We start from the raw sequence: 16,189 nt of genomic DNA, 5'->3' as shown, positions 1-16,189 counted from the left end.
TTCTAAGGTCATCAGTCAGATTAGATCAGGGTTTATCCTAAGGGCCTCGTTTTAACATAATCAGCTCTTTAAAGGTCCTATCTCCAAATTGGTCACATTCTGAGATGTAGAGAGTTAGGACTTCAACAGAGGAATTTTGTGGGGACACAGTTCATTCCATAACAACTATATTGGACAGCATCACAACATATTGGTCCAGAATTAATCTGTTATTTATTGCTTTCTCACCAGATACACTGCTACTAATGTTAGGACACTTTGATTTTTCTCTTTCCCATCCTTCATCACCATCTGCCATATTGTAATCATCTGGGATTTTAGTTCCCCATTTTTTCTTGCATTCTGCATTATCAATTATTGGACTTCACTAGAAATTTTTCACATTTCTTTTTCATCATTTTTTCTTTTATGCCATACAGTCCTCTTTCTCGAATACCTGTATCTTGTTGCCATAGTAGTGCCCTCCAGTAGTTCTTTCAGAGATGGGCTTGAGGGCTAGGTATAGGATTCTAAGTTCAAAGTAACCTATCTTAATAATTTGAAGACATTTTATACACTGCTGGTGCCTCACTCAGATCCCCTTTACCACCCTAGGTCATTCATCCTTCAACTGTTGTGAGCATTGGCTCACTCTTGCCCCTCTAAAGAATCGCTCTTTACTCAGTGAGAGCTGACTCATTTGGTGAATTACTCACCTATTTCCCCTAGTGGCAGGCTCCAGCCAATTGCTGGCTGATAGAAGAGTACAAAAGGCTTTTCCCTTTGCTTCAACATGGGAACTACCTGAGCGAATGTTCGTGCTCTAGGGTTCTCTGTGGGATAGACTGAAGCTAGACACCTGTGGATACCACTTAGTTACTTCCCCTGCCCTATTCCATTTTCCTTATTCCCTCTCTCAGAGCACTGCCTTCATAGCCATGTATATCCAAATTCCTGTCTCAGGCTCTGCTTCTAGGGAAGATGACTCAAGACAACATTATTTCATTGTCAATTCTATTATTTCATTGACAATTTCTATTGTCCCAGGCCCTCATGCTTAGCCCAGGACGCAAAGCCTACTGTGCCTTCAGAAAATGTTCACCAAATGAACAAATAAAGTCATCTTCCTTGGGCAGCATGCTGATCATATTACACTTTATCTCCAATCCTAACTTCTAGTTATGAAATTAAAATTCCTGATTTTGGCTTTAAATCTTATTCCAGTGGTTGCTCATATCAAGCCCATCTGTTTTTGTTTGTATACTTTGATTTTTTTACTGCTTTTATGATCTCAAACACAAATTTTTACACCCAAATTACATATGAACAGTAATGTACTGCTTGTACATTGTGTCATGTGTCTTATTTCCTTAGCTAAAATACAATTTCTTGGTCTTTATCTTCTCTGTTTTGATTAGGACCTAGCACCTTTCTAGTTGCACTGTGCTCAACCAGTAATTGTATAATTTTATATGACAGCTTAACTAAAAGGGATTATATTTGGAAACAAATTTTCTCTTAGAGAATACCTTTTTTCTTTCTTTATTATCCCTGGATCATTAATTCCTGTTTGGAAACTCTATTTCTATAGCAACAGATTATCGTAAAAGAAAGAGGATGATATAGTCTTTACTTTTAACAATGAGAAAGAGAAGGATTCTGAGAAGAAAACTTGTAATTGCAAAATTATAAATAAAATGAATGAATCAAGAAGAGGGTAACAGCACAGAGAAGGATAAATCATTTCTAACAATGTTAATAGTATTGTTTTACTTCAAGATGATTAAACTAGCCAGCTGGATTAGAGACTCAAACATTAGTAATGTGATAAGCTTCAGAAGCTGAAGGCAAAAAGCATTAGGTCAGTCCCATGGGTCCTTGCTGGCTTCAAAGGAGTGGCCTCTATTTGATCAGTGAGGGCAGAGGTACAGAACCTAAGTTCTTTAATGATTTGCAGTATCATCAAGTCCCCAATAAGCCTCTATTTGAAAGTTGCCTGAGGTGACTTTCTCTTTAATTTGCAAAAAGTGTTCAATATCCAAGTAGTGACAAATTGAATCTGGCCCATAAAGAGGGGAGAAAATAATGTGACATAAAACAAGCTTGTGTTTGGAGACCACAAGGAAAGGGCAGGACAACCTTCAGCAGCTGGAATTCAGTGGGTATTCCTTTAAGCTTTTTGTGGTATGGTTTATGCTTTATGTGGCAAATTTATAGATTACCATCAAACAGACTTTCTTGTCATTGAACATGCTCATCTTTTTTTTTTTTTTGAAGCTGAGAACTTTTGGTTGGAGAAAAGAAGTGCCAAAGGGATGAGACCACGCCTGAAGCTCAAAACTGAACCAGACTTAGGGGTGCAGAGATTCAGAAGAGGAAGCAGTGTGGGTGGGGCACAGGGCATGCCGTGCAGCCTGCCCTGGGCTCCTTGGTTCTTGGCGTGCTCGGCTGTGAAATAAAGAGATTGGGTAGTCAGCATGATGATCTCTAAAGAGCACTGAGTTCAGCGATTCCACAGTTCTAATAAAATCGAAAGCTATTATTCTCCATATTGCTAGTTGGAATTTTTCTTAATTTCATTATTCTTCCTGTCAACTATAGTGCTTTGTATATTCTGAATACTAGTCCTTCACTGGTTACGTATGATGCAAGTATCTTTTCCTGCTCTGTGGCTGCTTTCATTTTCTTATGGTGTCTTTCATGAACAGAAGTTCTTATTTAATGTAGCATAATTTATTAGTCTCTGTTGTTACAGTTTCTGCTTTTTATGTCTTGTTTAAGGAATACTTCTTTATCCTGAGGTCATAAATATATTCTCTTTTGTTATTTGTATGATGTTATGGGGTTTTTCCTTACCATATTTAGATCTTTAATCCATCTGGAATTGATTCTTATATATCATGTGATATAGAGGTGCAATTTAATATTTTTCATTTGAATAACTTACTGTCCCATTTTTTGAAGACCTACTTGTCTTTTCCTAATTAAACTGCCATACTACCTCACTTCATTATAAATTGTCTATATATTAGTGTATCCTTTTATGGACTCTCTCATTTTTTGTATTTGGCTATTTCTGTGCAAATACTACATCATCTTTGTATTAGTCCATTTTCACACTGCTGATAAAGACGTACCTGAGACTGGATCATTTATAAAGAAAAAGGTTTAATGGACTCACAGTTGCATGTGGCTGGGGAGGCCTTACACTCATGACGGACGGCAAAAGGCACATCTTACGTGGTGGCAGACAAGAGAGAATGAGAACCAACAGAAAGGGGTTTCCTCTTATAAAACCATCAGATCTTGTGAGACTTATTCACTACCACCAGAACAGTATGGGGAAAACCGCCCCCATGATTCAATTATCTCCCACCAGGTCCCTCCCACAACACCTGGGAATTATGGGAGCTACAATTCAAGATGAAATTTGGCTGTATGGGAACACAGCCAAACCATACCAATCTGACTTGCTATAGTTTCATAATAGGTACACATCTGTTGGAGCAAGCTCTCCTAGTCATAATTTTTTTAACCATCACAAATGAATGTTAAATGTTGTCAAATGATATTTTTCAGTACCTACTGAGATGTTCACATTGCTTCTTTTACTCTAATCATATAGTAAATTATACCAATAGATTTTTTTTTTGATGGAGTCTCGCTGTGTCACCCAGGCTGGAGTGCAGTGGTCCGATCTTGGCTCACTGCAACCTCCAGGTTCAAGTAATTCATGTGCTTCAGCCTCCTGAGTAGCTGGGACTACAGGTGTATGCCACCATGCCTGGTTAATTTTTCATATATGTATGTATGTGTGTGTGTGTGTGTGTGTGTGTGTGTATATATATATATATATATATATATATATATATATTTTTTTTTTTTTTTTTAGTAGAGACAGGGTTTTGCCATGTTGCCCAGGCCAGTCTTGAACTCCTGAGCTCAGGCAATCCGCCCGCCTCCGCCTCCCAAAGTGCTAGGATTACAGGCCTGAGCCACCGCAACTAGACCAATTGATTTTTCTAAGGTTAAAATAAATTTTCTTCATGGAATAATCTAACTTTGTCATTGTATCAGTTACTTATTGTGGCAAAATAGACAACCCCGAATCTCAATGTCATGTATATCCATATTTATTCCCAGGAATCTTGAGTCATCTAGGTGCTGGCTGATCTACGCTGGGTGGCTTTGTTTCAGGCTGTGGCAGCAGGAGCACCTCAGACTCTCACTGCATACATGTGGCTGTACTGGGGCAACTGTACTCTGCATGTCCCTAACCCTTCTTGGATCAGGAGACTAGAAAGGGCACGTGCTTCTCATGGCATGGTAAGGCACTATCAGGAAGTAAACACTGATCTAGTACTATTACCTAATATTCAGACTTTATCTAAATATCACCATTGGCTCTCTAGTAGCCTATATTTCAAAGGAAAAATATTTTTCTGATTTAGGATCCAATTTAGGACTTGGTATTACATTTACTTGTCATATTTCTTCCGTCTCTTTGACCAGGAACATTTGCTCAGTCTTTCTTTCATGTTCTTAATATTTATGAAGAGTACATGCCATTTCTTTTTTATATACTCTTTTGTGGATATCTTGTAGATAATCCATTTTTTTAAAAATACAGTTGAAAAATATATTTCTTCCACTTAGATATCTATCTCATCCATTTACATTTATTTTTGTAGTTATTAATATGTTTGGATTTATTTCTACCATCTTATCATGGGCTTTTTATTTGTCCTACCTTTTCTGTTTCTTTTTCATTTTTTTCCTTGGATTCTCTAGGATAGAGTATTTGTTTTTCTCATTCTATTTTCCTCTTTTACTAATTTAGAAGCTATATACTTTGTTTCTATTCTTTTAATTGTTATGCTAGACATTTTAGCATACATATTTGGCTTCTCAAGTGCTAAAGTCAATCATATTGTCACCCTCTTCTCTAGCAATACAATTATATTAAAATGTGTGAACTCTAATTATTCCATTCCTGAAATGTATTATTTTTGTCATGCATTGTAGGTTTATTTTATTTTTATTTTAATCCTACCGGATAATAATATTATTTTATCTCTATATTTATTTTAGCTATATATTTATCTCAATGTTTATTTAGTTTTATCTATATACTTACTGTTTTCTTTATTGATCATTTCTTTTTGCATCTTAGATCTTTCATCTGGGATCAATTTCCTTCTGCATAAAATACATTCTTTAGAATTTCTCTTACTGAGTATTTATAGCAGTGAATTAGGATATTTTTTAAAAATATATCTTTCTTTGTCCCACTTTTTGAAAGATGTTTAAAATAATTTTAAAATTTTTTTTTTTCCTCAGCCCTTTGAACATATTGCTCTGCATTCTTCTGGCTTTCATTGTGTCTGTCTTTGTCCTTCAGCTAAAGTTTAGTTATCTTTTCTCTCTGGCTGTTTTTCAGTTATTTCTTTTGTCTTTGTTATTTACAGATTCCCTATGATGTGTTTAGCCATGAGTTTGTTTTTATTATTAAGCTTGGAATTCACTGGGCTTCTTCAATCTGTGGAGAAGTGTTCTATTATTTCTGAAAAATTTTCAGTAACCATTAATCCAAATATTATTTCATGTATCCTTTTTCTCTCTTGTCCTTTTGGAGCTCTGGTTTGACATGTCTTTCGATCTCTGTTTTATAATTTCTATCGTGATCATTCTATGCTGCATTCTGGACGATTTATTTGGATCTATCTTTCGATTTCACATGTCAGCTTTTTCTAATCTGTCTATTGAATTTTAAGCTTTCTTTATTGGATTTTTAAATTTTTAGAATTATATTTGTTTTTTTAAAATCTGCTTCATTTCTATGGTGTCTTTCCCTTTCCTTATATTTTAAATCACTTTTAAATTTATTTAGACATAAAGCCTTTTAGACATTTTTAAAAAGGTCTGTTCTATTGGCTTTTGCTCTTCATACTGTTGTCTCTCTCTCTCTCTCTCTCTCCCTCCCTCTGTGTGTGTGTGTGTGTGTGTGTGTGTGTGTGTGTGTTGATATGGTTTGGCTGTGTCCCCACCCAAATCTAATCTTGAATTGTAGCTCTCACAATTCCCAGGTGTTGTGGAAGGGACCTGAGGGGAGGTAGTTAAATCATGGGAGTCGGTCTTTGCCATGCTGTTATCGTGATAGTGAATAAGTCTCATGAGATCTGATGGTTTTATAAAGAGGAGTTCCCCTGCGCATGCTCTCATCTTGCCTGCTGACATGTAGACATCCTTGCTCTTCTGCCATGATTGTGAGGCTTCCCCAGCAATATGGAACTATGAGTCCATTAAGCCTCTTTTCTTTATAAATTACCCAGTATCGGGCATGTCTTTATTAGCAACATGAGAACAAATACAGTGTTTACTGTGGCCTCATATTTTTGTGAACTTTTTTTGCATGAATTCTTTCAGACTGTGATAAAACTAATACTCCAAAGAGGATTGAATTTGTTTCTGCCAGGAACCCGGAAAACTACCAGCCCAGGACAACTTTAACTGACTTCTTGGCTTGAGATTTCTTGGCCAAGAAGTGTGAATTTGGCATGCAAAACTGCATGAAGACTGACTTATGGTTAGTAGTTTTAGGGACGAGTCCCTCTCTTTCCACTGCTAAATTTCTAATTAGGCAATCTTGCTTTTGGTGTGTTGGGTGGCAGAATGTTTTCCTACTTCACTTTTATGATGGAGGTGTGGCCCTTTGCAGTCTTAGTTTTATAAAGGGGGACCTTGAGTGAATCTTGGGCTTTATTTTCTCTATTCTATGGCTTTATAGAGCTGGAAAGCACAAAGGTGAAGCACATTCAGTTTGAAAAATGGTCCATAAGGCACAAGATGGCTTTATTTCTCTGATTACCTCTTCGGGTCTACTTTCATCAAGTTCCCTTTACTAATTAGCCATGTAATTAATGTATTAAAATCTTTTTATTGTGTTTTACCCAGTATTTTGATTTGTTTTCCGCAGGAGGACCAAGCAGGTACTTTATTCATCATACTGATGGAAATAGAAGTCCAGATACCAATTTGAAATTATATTGGGGAAAACTTTACTAATAATTAGTTAGCAATTGACAACCAGAATGTGAAATGTCTGATAATGCTTTTGATGGGGTTAGGGCTAGGGTTAGTAATAGCTGTAGGATTAATAATAACTATAGCAAACACAAATATTGTAAATATGTAAGAAAAAGAGCAAAGCAGTACCCAATTAGTATTTTTTTTTTTTGGGATGGAGTCTCACTCTGTCACCCAGGCTGGAGAGCAGTGGAGTGATCTTGGCTCACTGCAACCTCCGCCTCCCAGGTTCAAGTAATTCTCTGCCTCAGCCTCCCAAGTATCTGGGATTCCAGGCACCCACCAGCATGCCTGGCTAATTTTTGTATTTTTAGTAGAGATGGGGTTTCAGCATCTTGGCCAGGCTGGTCCTGAACTCCTGACCACATGATCCACCCTCCTCGGCCTCCCAAAGTGCTGGGATTACAGGCATGAGCCACTGCACCCAGTCCCAATCAGTATTTTTTTTAAGAGACAGGGTCTCATTCTGTTGTCCAGGCTGGGGTGCAGTGGCATGAGCATAGCTCACTGCAAACCGGAACTCCTGGGCTCGAGCAGTCTTCCCACCTCAGCCTTCCTAGTAGTTAGGACTACAGGTGCACACCACCATGCTCGGTTAATTTTTAAAAAAATTTTTATTTGTAGAAATGGGGTCTTGCTATGTTTCCCAGGCTGGCCTCAAACTCCTGACCTCAAGCACCAACAAGGATTTTAATGAAAACATAAACATTTGTTTGTGTCATTTAATTCATTGTCTGTGTTAATGATTTTTGTAATAGAAAGAGCTGGGATTTTGTAGGGGTGGCATATTTTATTTTCCTGCCTTCCAGTCTTCAAAGATCCTCTAACATCCTTGGCCTGGCAATCAAAGATCTTCAAAATAAGAGCTTATTTTGCTTTATGTTTCCACCACTCCCCTGTAAAACACTGGTGCCCTGAACTCCAGCCAGAGTTTACCACCAGTGGATCCTGTCTATGTTCTTTGCTTGGCTACTTCAAAGCCTTTGCATCTGCTGTTCCCTTGACTTGAGTTGCTCTTCCTCCTTCTCCCACCAATGCCTTGATTATTTTCTGAAATAACATAGTTTTGGCAAGCAATGTATCTTTTCTTTGCCATCTTTATTTCCTCTTCAAAGTTTATCTAGAAAGCATCCTTTTGAAACCTCACACCAACAAGATGTGATCTCTTTTTTTGCCACTCAGAGCCTTTTGAACCACCCTTACAATCTTTCTATTCTGCCTTCCGTTGTTATTTACCTTTATTTTCTTATTTTCTCTCTTAGAATGTAAGCTTCTTGGTTGCAGACTCTTACTCCTAAGCGTGTTCCCTCCAAATGCCAAAACCAGTGCCAAATATATGTGCTGTAGGAACAAGAAAAGCACCAGATATAATTTTTAAACCCATATATTTATTTATTTTGCAGAAACAGGGTTTCGCTCTCTCACCTAGGCTGGAATGCAGTGGCATAATCATAACTCCCTGCGGCCTCAAACTCCTGGGCTCAAGCAATCCTCCCACCCCAGCCTCCCAGGCAGCTGGACTACACGTGCATCTACAGGCACCTGGGCTCCTGGGCTCAAACTCTTGGGCTCAAGCGATCTTCCCACCTCAGCCTCCCAGGCAGCTGGACTACAGGTGCATACTACAGGTGCCCAGCTACTTAAATTTTTTTTTCTGTAGATATGAGGGTCTTGCTATGTTGTCCAGGCTGATCTTGAACTCCTGGCTTCAAGTGATCCTCTTTCCTCGGCCTCCTAAAGTGTTGGGATTATAAGTGTGAGTCACTGTGCCCAGCCCCATCTGTTGAATTGAATGAAATACACTGGCTTGAATATGGAGCACTCCTTTTTTCAGTGTTAGTGCAGGCGAAATTATGTATGGAGATACAATTATTTGGGGAAAAATGTGTGGCTTATATGTAGACAGGATTTAGAAGCCTTGTACTATGCAGAAGAAAGAGAATCATTATTCAGAAAGTAGATGAAAAAAATAGTTGATTCATTATTGTTAACCTTGTGCCTAAGTCTTTGTAAATGGAGCTAAGTTAAATTTTGCAAGTTTATTGTCATGAAAGAGAATTCAAGGAATTCTTCTAGGACAGAGTTACTCATGGGCTACATGCAAATTTCATAGTTTGAAGTCACCCAAGAGCAGCTTAAATTTAACATGACAATTTCTCAAAATATTATTTTCTTATGTGAAAACCCCAGGCTAAACACAACCATTTTTGCAAACAGCATGTCTTTTCATTTCTGCTCTCTGTTAAGTCTTTGTGTTTTAAAATGCCTTTGCTTTCATGTGAGACATCGCCAGCAGCCTTGTGGCTGGGTGGTAGAATTGCTGCTGCTACATCACAGATTCTGCCTTTTTATATCTTCTTCAAGTATAAAGCACCTTGTATTTGCACAGCTCTTTTAACTTTTTCAAAGTCTGTTTACATCTTTTATGCTTACACCTCTGTGAAGTAGGAAGCATGGGTTTTTCTACCCACCTTGTAGAGATGAGAACAGTGAGCCACACAGAGGTTAAGTGATGGGTTAAAGGCTGCAGCATCCTCCCACTATCCCATGCTGTTTTCCTTCCTAGAGTGAAATTACGTGCGTACACAAGTTCTCCTGAAACAAACACTGAGCAAGGCTGTGCGTGGCTGCTTGATTCACTTGTGTGATTGCTCTCTATGGCATGGACGGAGGGCTGCAGGAAAGCTAATTAATTTGTTCAGAGAAAGCTGTGTATGACTTCACGTGTTTTATCTATTCTGTCATTCAAACTCTGTGGACAAGTCAGTTTTCATAATGACTTTAGATCATTGCACTAAGACTTACTTGTTTTCCAAATGATTTGGTGATCTGTTCACTTAATTTATGCCAGATGCTTTCTTACTGTTTAATTGCCACCTGCAAAATAACATTTAGATATGAAGATTTTAGTTTTAAAATTGTTTTGAGCTCTCAAATCAAAAACTTGCAAGACTGGTTAAGTTGCTTTTTGTTCATAGCAAAGTAAACACACCTCTAGCTGAGAAGCAAGGGCTTTTACAAGTCATTTGCTTCACCTAGAATAAAATCTGTGAATTATCCCAATGGTTACGATGATGTGATTAAAAAATTGGGGGAAGAAATAAAGGATAACCTGTTCGCATCTTCTTTCTCTTTTGATAATTCCTATACAAACATCTTAAAAGATGAGATTTTTCATTGTACATTTGGCAGAGCCTTATTCCTTCTGTTTTAATCCGAGATTTCCATTTAAATTTTTTATCCAGTTTTCTAGCATGTGTTCACAGTTTTGTCATTTGAATCAATTTCATTCCTCAGGAATTAACATAAACCATAATGTTTTCTATGAATAAGAACTTTAATTCTAAAATCTGGTTTTGACTAATGATTAACTTTTCTTAATCCTTTGATAATTCTTACTGTTTTCCTCCAGACCATGTAAGTTTGTTTCCATTTTTCTCATTATGATGCTCTAAATCAAGATGCAAACCAGAATATTCATTTTTCATATAAAATAGGTCTTACCTTTTTATGTTTCTACTAGCTGTATTCAATTGATTCACTGAAAATGATTCCTGGCTTTAGTTTTTGCAGAAAGAAAGTAACAAGGCGAACTCACTAGCAGGCCAGGAAGGAGCTGGGAGGAGACTCTTTCTCAATAAGGCAGTGCTGGAGGTTGGTAACTAGGTCAGCAAATAGGATCTGGGAGGACTAGGATTATCAGTGACCTTTTACTAGTTGAGTGGAGGTTGTGTATTTAAAATGCAGCCTAGTGTAGTGCAGAAGTGCTGAACTTGGGGACAGACTGAAGTTCTGGGCCTCTTTTTGCTGCTTTCTAGCTCTAGAACCTTGGATAAATTTCCTAATCTATCTGAACTTCACATTTCTAATTCACCAATAGGAATAATAATACTATTTCTCAGAATCATTTTGTCTATCAGTTATCTGGTGCTAAGTAATAAACCATCTCAAAACTTGGTGGCTTAAAACAGAATAATTTATTTGCCAACATTTGGACTGGTTTCAGCTGGGTAGTTCTTTTGTTGATCTTTCCTGGGGCCCCTCATATAGACACAGTGATCTGGAGGTTTGACTGGAATTGGATGATCCAAGCTGGCCTTACTCTCATATGGCAGTCAACTGGGACTGTCAGCAGAATACCTCAGTTCTCTATGTGGCTGCTTTTGCAGTGGAGACCAGGTTTCTTACATGACAATGACAATGATTTCAAGAAGGCAAATCCCAGTGTGCAAGTGTTTACCTATCCTCTCCTTGTGTCATATTGGCTGATATCTTGTTAGTCAAAGTAAGTCACATGGCTGAGCCCAGGGTAAATGAAAGAAGGAACAATGCTGAGGGTAGAGGCTTCATTTATATGGAATCATTAGTGTAATAATCCATTCACTGTGTTCGTCAAACATGACAATACATGGGAAATTATTTTTGAAGTGTTACATCAGTGTAAACGTTGTATGGTGTGTGTCTGCATGTCTATGGGTGGTGGCAGTTGGCGAATGGTGATGGGGAGGCATGTACCTGAAAACTTTAATAGACATTGAATTTACAGTCCTGGAAATAATTGTTTAGTTTTACCGCTGGCTTTCATAATTACATTAAACATATTTAACTCAGGTGCACTCAGGAGTGTAGCATGCTGGAACCTGGGTAATGGGATCAGTTGGGAGGGGAAGAGATGTGAAGCTTGGAGAAATGGACTCAGCTACAGAGAACTGGGAATCCAACGCTCAGCGTTTCAAAAATTTACCAAATTAATGGATAAATTGGTCATTCCTCAGAACATAGAGGTTCATTCTAGGTGAGTTAATTTGCAAGTCAGGAGGGTAGAGGTCATGAGAGCTTTTCACACATCCTGACCATGGAGGGAGATTATGGAGATGAGGATCCATCTGAGGCAGAGGAATGGGAACTAGCCCTAGAACCGAGGGGATTAAGGTGAGGACAAGAGGCTTAAGAAAGCAGAGACCAAGGCAAATGCCTATTTCTTTGGACTAGACAAAAATACAGGAAGAGGAGGACAAACAGCATATGAATTTGGGAGTACTGTGCTCAGGGCAGTGTTAGTCAGGTGTGTAGACTTTACCTGTCATGAGTGCCCTTAAAGTTGGTCTTCAAGGAATCTTGGAATGCAGGGTGGTGGGGGGGCGGTGGTGGTTGTGGAAGCTTTGCAACCATCCTGAGCCACTGGGTCTCAGGTTTGAAGGCAAGGCCGACAGTGAGGCTGCGGCTATTAAACACGCTAAGTCGGGACGAACCTGAGGACGAGGTGAAAGTGGCAGGCATTAGTGGGCACAGGTAGGGACTTTTAGAAGGCTGACACAAATGCCTGGTAGGATATTGGTTCTCAAACATCAATAAGCACAGGAACTTCTGGTTAAAAATGCCCATACCTGAGCTTACCTCAGAGATTCTGATTTTAGTATATCTTACATGGTACCCAAGAATCTGTGTTTTCAGTAAACAGCTTAGTATTGATGATCTAACCTGTGTTGTCCAATATGGTACACATGTAGTTATTTCAATATAAATTAGCTAAAGTTAAATAAACTTAAACAATTAGTTGTCTACTGGTCAAATTTCAAGAGCCTAATAGCCACATGTAGCTAGTAGCTACCGCATTAGACAATGCAGAATTAGAACATTGCCATCATTGCAGAAAGTTCTATTGGACAGTGCTGTTTAAGCCATCAACTCTGTGCCTCAGTTTCCTTTGATCACATCTGGTTCTGCTAGGTTTGGTGTCCCTATTCCAGGTCCATAGCCACATCTACTTCCTAGAGAAGCAATCCATAATGTGCATGCTCTTTCAGGACCATGGACAATAGCACACATGGCTATCCCTCCCCTCAAATAGTTTTGCTCACACTGTACTTAAGTCTAGGCAAGTGAGAAGCCAAGAATGGGTGGCTAAAGAAGGCAGCAAGCAAAGTAGACACAAGAGACTTTGACCTGTTCTGAAAACTTCACTCCATAATCCCATAGCCCAGTTGCATTGACTTTGGTCTCTACCCACATCAGCTCTTCTCCTCAAAGAGAAGTAGGGGGAAGGGAAGCTTGAGCTACTATTTAAAATATATCACTAAGAAACACCATACATGTGTAGGTCAGTGAGGTAGGAGATAAACATAGGTAAAGTCAAGCAGGATTAAATTCTGAGCTGCCATTTACTTGGGTGCAACCATGGAAATGTTACTTAATCTCCCCAAGTCACAGTTTTCCAATCTGTAAACAACTATAATAATATTATGATAATATGAAATGAGCCAGGCACAGAAAAGCAAGTATTGCGTGTTCTCACTCTTATGTGGGAGCTAAAAAAAATTGATCTCATGGAGGTAGAGTAGAATGATTATCAGAGGTTGGGAAGGGTAGGGGGAGGACATGATAAAGCGAGGTTAGTTAATGGGTACAAAAATATGGTTAGATAGAAGGAATAAATTCTAGTCTACAATAGTATAATAGTGTGACTATAGTTATCAATAACTTATTGTATATGTCAAGATCACTACTAATAGAGAAGATGTGGAAAGTTCTCAGCACAAAGAAATGGTAAATGTTTGAGGTGATGGGTGTACCATAACCATGATTTGCTTAACAAGAGATGCGTACAACATATGCATGCATTGAAGTATCCCAAGTACCTTATAACTATGTAAAATTATGTACCAATAAAATAAAAATAATATTATGATAATAATTTAATAATAATACAAGTGACAAAATATATGTAAAGCACTTAACATAAGACCAGAAACCTAGTAGGTAATCAACAAATATTAGTTCTATTTCCACTCTTGGTAAGTTGAACTCCATACTCCTAATGAGGCCAGCTCCAACTTATTGTACAGAGTCTGCTCTCTGGTGGCAGTGTCTATATTTAGTGACAGGGATGACTTAGTCATTTTTTTTTTTTGGTCTGGCCCCAAGTAGGGTCTAGTAGAGCAATGTAAATCAAGTACTCAGAAAAACGTGGAGGTGTTCCAAAGATCTGTGAACAGAATTCCAAATGGTTATCTGGAGTTAGACTATCATGGCAGATTATCATTCTCCTGCCTCTTTTCTTCTTCCTTCTTCTCCACTTCCTCTTCTTCCGTCATTCCTTTTCTTCTTCCTTTACCTCTTCCTCTTCTTCATTTTCCTTTTCTTCCTTCTTCCTTTTTTTCTTTCTGTATCCTTCCACTTCCTCCTCCTTATTTTTATTCTCTTCTTCTTTTTTTCCCTTTTTTTTCTTTCTGCTCCTACTGTGAGAACTGCAGTATGTCCAGAATCAGAATCTTGTTTATTACTGGAACACAGGGAGTTTTGTCAGTACAGTGTTTTTCAAAATCTCAAACAGTAATGTGCAAATCTATTTGAAAATGGAGGTGGTTATATTATTTTCCAAAGATGTCTCTTTTATGTAGGATTCTGAGTTTAAACTCATCAAGTAAAGATCAGTTTAAAATTGTGCTTTGAGTTTTAGTGGATATGTAATATCTTTATTGAATATTGTGTTTCTAGTTAACTGTCAGTAATAATATTTACAACTGACTGCTAGTCTAGAACATTCACCTCCATCAACCTTTGTGTTATTGTAAGGGTAGTAGCTATATGGATGAATCTATGTTCTAATCAAGTTTCAAATAGCAGAAAACACTCCTTGAGAGTCGAAACTTTTAAAATGATGGCCTTTTGGAAACATTACAAATTTTCTCATCTGTGGCAGGCATTGCTGTGTTAAAGTTGTTATAATAAAAAAAAACATATGTTTTATTTTTTGAGATGGAGTCTCGTTCTGTCACCCAGGCTGGAGTGCAGTGGCCTGATATCGGCTCACTGCAACCTCTGCCTCCCGGGTTCCAGCAATTCTCCTGCCTCAGCCTCCCAAGTAGCTGGGATTATAGGTGCCCACCACCATGCCTGGCTAAGTTTTTTGTACTTTTAGTAGAGACAGTGTTTCACCATGTTGGCCAGGCTGGTTTCGAACTCCTGACCTCAAGTGATCTGCCTGCCTCGGCCTCCGAAAGTGTTAGGATTACAGGCGTGAGCCACCGTGCCTGGCCCAAAAGCTATATTTTAACTGACATAAGTATAAATAAAGCTCTTGGATTATAACAACTTTAACACATTCCATAATAACATAGGAGTAATAGAAGATCTGGATTCAAATCCCCATCAGGCCATTTGCCAGCAATGCAGTGTTGAGCAAGTTGTTCAACTTCTCTAAGCCTCAATGTCCTCATGTACAAAGTGGGAATAGTTCACCCTTGCATGGATGTTCTAAGGATTAGAGATAATATACAAGGCTTAGCACAAAATGGTAGAATTGATTTTATATTACTTATGTTCCCTATTGTCTAGGAAAGATTTAGGAAATCTAGTATTATATTAATAATGATAACGAGTGTTACTAGGGAATCCTATTTAATACTACTAAAGGCAAACATAAACCCTCATCATATATCTTGATTTTGTTCTTTACTTTGAAAATAGTTATCTTAAGCATATGTAATAGAAAAATCACATGATTTGGGAATGTATTTTTTATAAAATTAAAAAGAAATGGAATATGTCAAGAATATGTCAAACTACCAAGTTTGTTTTTTTAAATTTATTTTTGAGATGGAGTCTTGCTCTGTCACCAGGCTGGAGTGCAGTGACACAATCTCGGCTCACTGCAACCTCCACCTCCTGGGTTCAAGCAATTCTCCTGCCTCAGCCTCCCGCATAGCTGGGACTACTGGCATGCACCACCACTCCCAGCTAATTTTTGTATTTTTAGTAGAGACGGGGTTTCACCATGTTGGCCAGGATTGTCTCAATCTCTTGACCTCATGATCCACCTGGCTCAGACTCCCAAAGTGCTGGGATTCCAGGTGTGAGCCACTGTGCCCGGCCAGACTACCAATTTTTTTGTTCTTTGTTTTTCTGTTTACATAGAAAAAACAGCATGATTAGATCTGAGTTCTAAAACATAACTTTGAGGAAACTGTTACCAAAAAAAAAAAAACACAGTTTGGGAGAAAGTTCCTTGAGATTCAAAGGCCATTTATTTAGAAGGTTGTCTCTTAGAGTTAACAGAGATTGTGAGCTTGGACATAAGACACATTTAAAAAAGAATATTTCAGAAGTATAATCAATAAGACTT

General features: G+C 38.1%; 2 long non-coding RNA genes across 4 annotated transcripts in view; one reads left to right on the top strand and one right to left on the bottom strand.

The window, feature by feature from the left end:
• Window positions 1-2,528, top strand: part of LOC105375490 (uncharacterized) — a 104,836-nt gene extending 102,308 nt beyond the window's left edge. For all 3 annotated transcript variants that reach the window (XR_007060511.1, XR_001745352.2, XR_001745351.2), the window contains one exon: window positions 2,257-2,528. This is a non-coding gene — a long non-coding RNA (uncharacterized LOC105375490). The remainder of the gene's footprint in view (window positions 1-2,256) is intronic.
• Window positions 1,735-10,656, bottom strand: LINC03012 (long intergenic non-protein coding RNA 3012). The gene is made up of 4 exons (NR_110024.1): window positions 10,570-10,656; window positions 9,871-9,942; window positions 8,302-8,406; window positions 1,735-2,427 (listed from the first exon to the last, which is right to left on the bottom strand). It is a non-coding gene; the product is annotated as a long intergenic non-protein coding RNA 3012 (long non-coding RNA).
• Between the last annotated feature and the right edge of the window lie 5,533 nt (window positions 10,657-16,189).

Source organism: Homo sapiens, chromosome 7 (assembly GCF_000001405.40).
Source record: "Homo sapiens chromosome 7, GRCh38.p14 Primary Assembly".
Taxonomy (NCBI): Eukaryota; Metazoa; Chordata; class Mammalia; order Primates; family Hominidae; genus Homo; species Homo sapiens.
The sequence above is the reverse complement of the archived record's forward strand: the minus strand, read 5'-3'. Positions and strand labels throughout refer to the sequence as shown.